The sequence below is a fragment of the Homo sapiens genome, chromosome 3, assembly GCF_000001405.40.
Source record: "Homo sapiens chromosome 3, GRCh38.p14 Primary Assembly".
Lineage (NCBI taxonomy): Eukaryota > Metazoa > Chordata > Mammalia > Primates > Hominidae > Homo > Homo sapiens.
Genome location: NC_000003.12, coordinates 40997594 through 40999445, shown reverse-complemented (window position 1 = coordinate 40999445; position 1852 = coordinate 40997594). Strand labels below are relative to the sequence as shown.

General features: G+C 52.5%; 1 annotated feature.

The window, feature by feature from the left end:
- Positions 597–1554: an enhancer, noted in NCBI's record as "H3K4me1 hESC enhancer chr3:41039383-41040340 (GRCh37/hg19 assembly coordinates)". NCBI's record gives its function as "activates a minimal SCP1, AML or CMV promoter by ChIP-STARR-seq in naive H9 embryonic stem cells {active_cell/tissue: H9 hESC(naive)}" and the evidence as "EXISTENCE:reporter gene assay evidence [ECO:0000049][PMID:30033119]".

The following is a 1852-nucleotide window of genomic DNA, read 5'->3' as shown; positions in this document are numbered from 1 at the left end:
TGGTGGATTGCATGCCTCAGTGTTACCCACCTGAGGGGCGAGGCAGCTGGGGCAACAATTCCCATCAGTCGATGGTAGAGGGCCTCCCTGAGGGAGTATTAATTCCCCGGCGCTTCCAGCTGCTGGGCACTCAGGCAGTGCAGCCTTCGGAGAGTTCTGAGAAAGCCCATGGGCAAAGAGATGCAGCTGGAAGCGGCTGGCACCCTGAAGCGGAGAGAACCCGTAACAGCTGCCTGACAGCTTCAGCCTCTTCTTCACTCTTAGTAGGCTCTGCCTTTACACACACACACACACACAAACACACACAAACGGCAGCCCCATGTCTTGGGGATGGAAATAAGAGATTTTCTTTCCCAATAACTGAACAAAAAAACTGATCCTGGCTTTCATTTTATCCAAATTGGGTCACTTAAATGACTCCCTGAGGTCAGCGGGAGGTGATACTTCTAGGAAAGGATCCTCATGCAGTTAACTGACTCGGCAGAGGAGGGAGGAGAATGAGTCCACAGGGCAAAACAAGGAGTCCGGCTGGGGTGTCATGGGAGTGTCCCGTAGACAACTGGTGTGTGGTACTGAAGCCTGAAGCCTGAGGAAGAGCTTGGACTGAAAACATTTAAGTGTGTGTGTGTGTGTGTGTGTGTGTGTGTGTGTGTGTGTGTGTGTGTCTTCATTTGGGTTTCTGCAAGGTAGACCCTGAGACGAGGACTTGGGTGCCGGTTGTTTATTTGGGAGGTGATCCCAGAAAGCAGCCATGAGGGAGTGGGAAAGTGAGTCAGGGCAGGAGGAGAAACCCATTCAAGGGGCATTAATGAGCACAGTGCTCTGCGGGCAAGTGGGCTCCCTCCCGCTGGGGCCCTCTGGGAACCAGGGTAGAACATACCTCAGAATTTCTCACCAAGGTGTAGCAAACTGGAGTTTCCTTCACTATCTCCCATCCCTCATTGTCTGAGAAACTTTCTGAGGCATCTACTCTCCCATCTTTCAGACCTAAGCTGTATGTGGGCCCGGCGTGTGCCTGTGGCCGGAGAACGCCCCCAGGTCGACAGGTACGGAGGCCCAGGACGGAGAGCCTCAGCAGGTGGGCATCCACCGGCTGCAGGAGTCCTCCAGCGTGCAGCGAGGGTATGTGGCTGGGACACCGTCCTCATCTGCTGCTGTATCCTTCCTGTCCTTGGTGGAACCCCCTGGTGGGCGGGGAGGGCAGAATTCCCCCACCCCTCACTCCCGGTGCCCACCCCTTTTCATCTTTGAATTCACCATTCTCTGCTCCCAGGTAGCCCAGAGCCCCTGTCTTCTCTAACATGACTGTCTGTACCTCCACATTGGCCCCGGCTGTGCGTGTTCTAGTTAGTAAATGCAGCTCTTTGATAAACTCCCACATTACAAAGAATCCAGGAATAAAGGCTTGGGGTTGGGGTGTGTGTGTCAAATGTTACTCCAAGAATGTCCCTGGGAATGGAAATAGCAGTTATGTGGGCAGGAAAATGATTATGTGATCTGGCCTGTGTCTTTTGGTTTAATTAAATCAGTGATACTCAAGTGGCCTAGAGGGTGTTTTAGAAGGTTCTGGGGAGCCTTTTTCAAACCAGACACTTCCTCTAATGGGTCCCACTGCAGAGGTGGGGGGGTGGGGACATGGCCTCCTCTCTGCCTCCCTGGTGGAGAATCCCTGTGTGTAATTTGGGAAGTTACTGATGGGTGAACTTTGGAATGTAGACAATGTGAAGGCAGAGGGAAGGCTGAGAATTACTGGTTTGAAATACAACCCTGGATCCACAAGTGTGGCAGAGTGGGAGAAACTTGTGGAGAGAAGACATATGTTTGAATTCAGAGCTGACTAGCCACTGAGCTT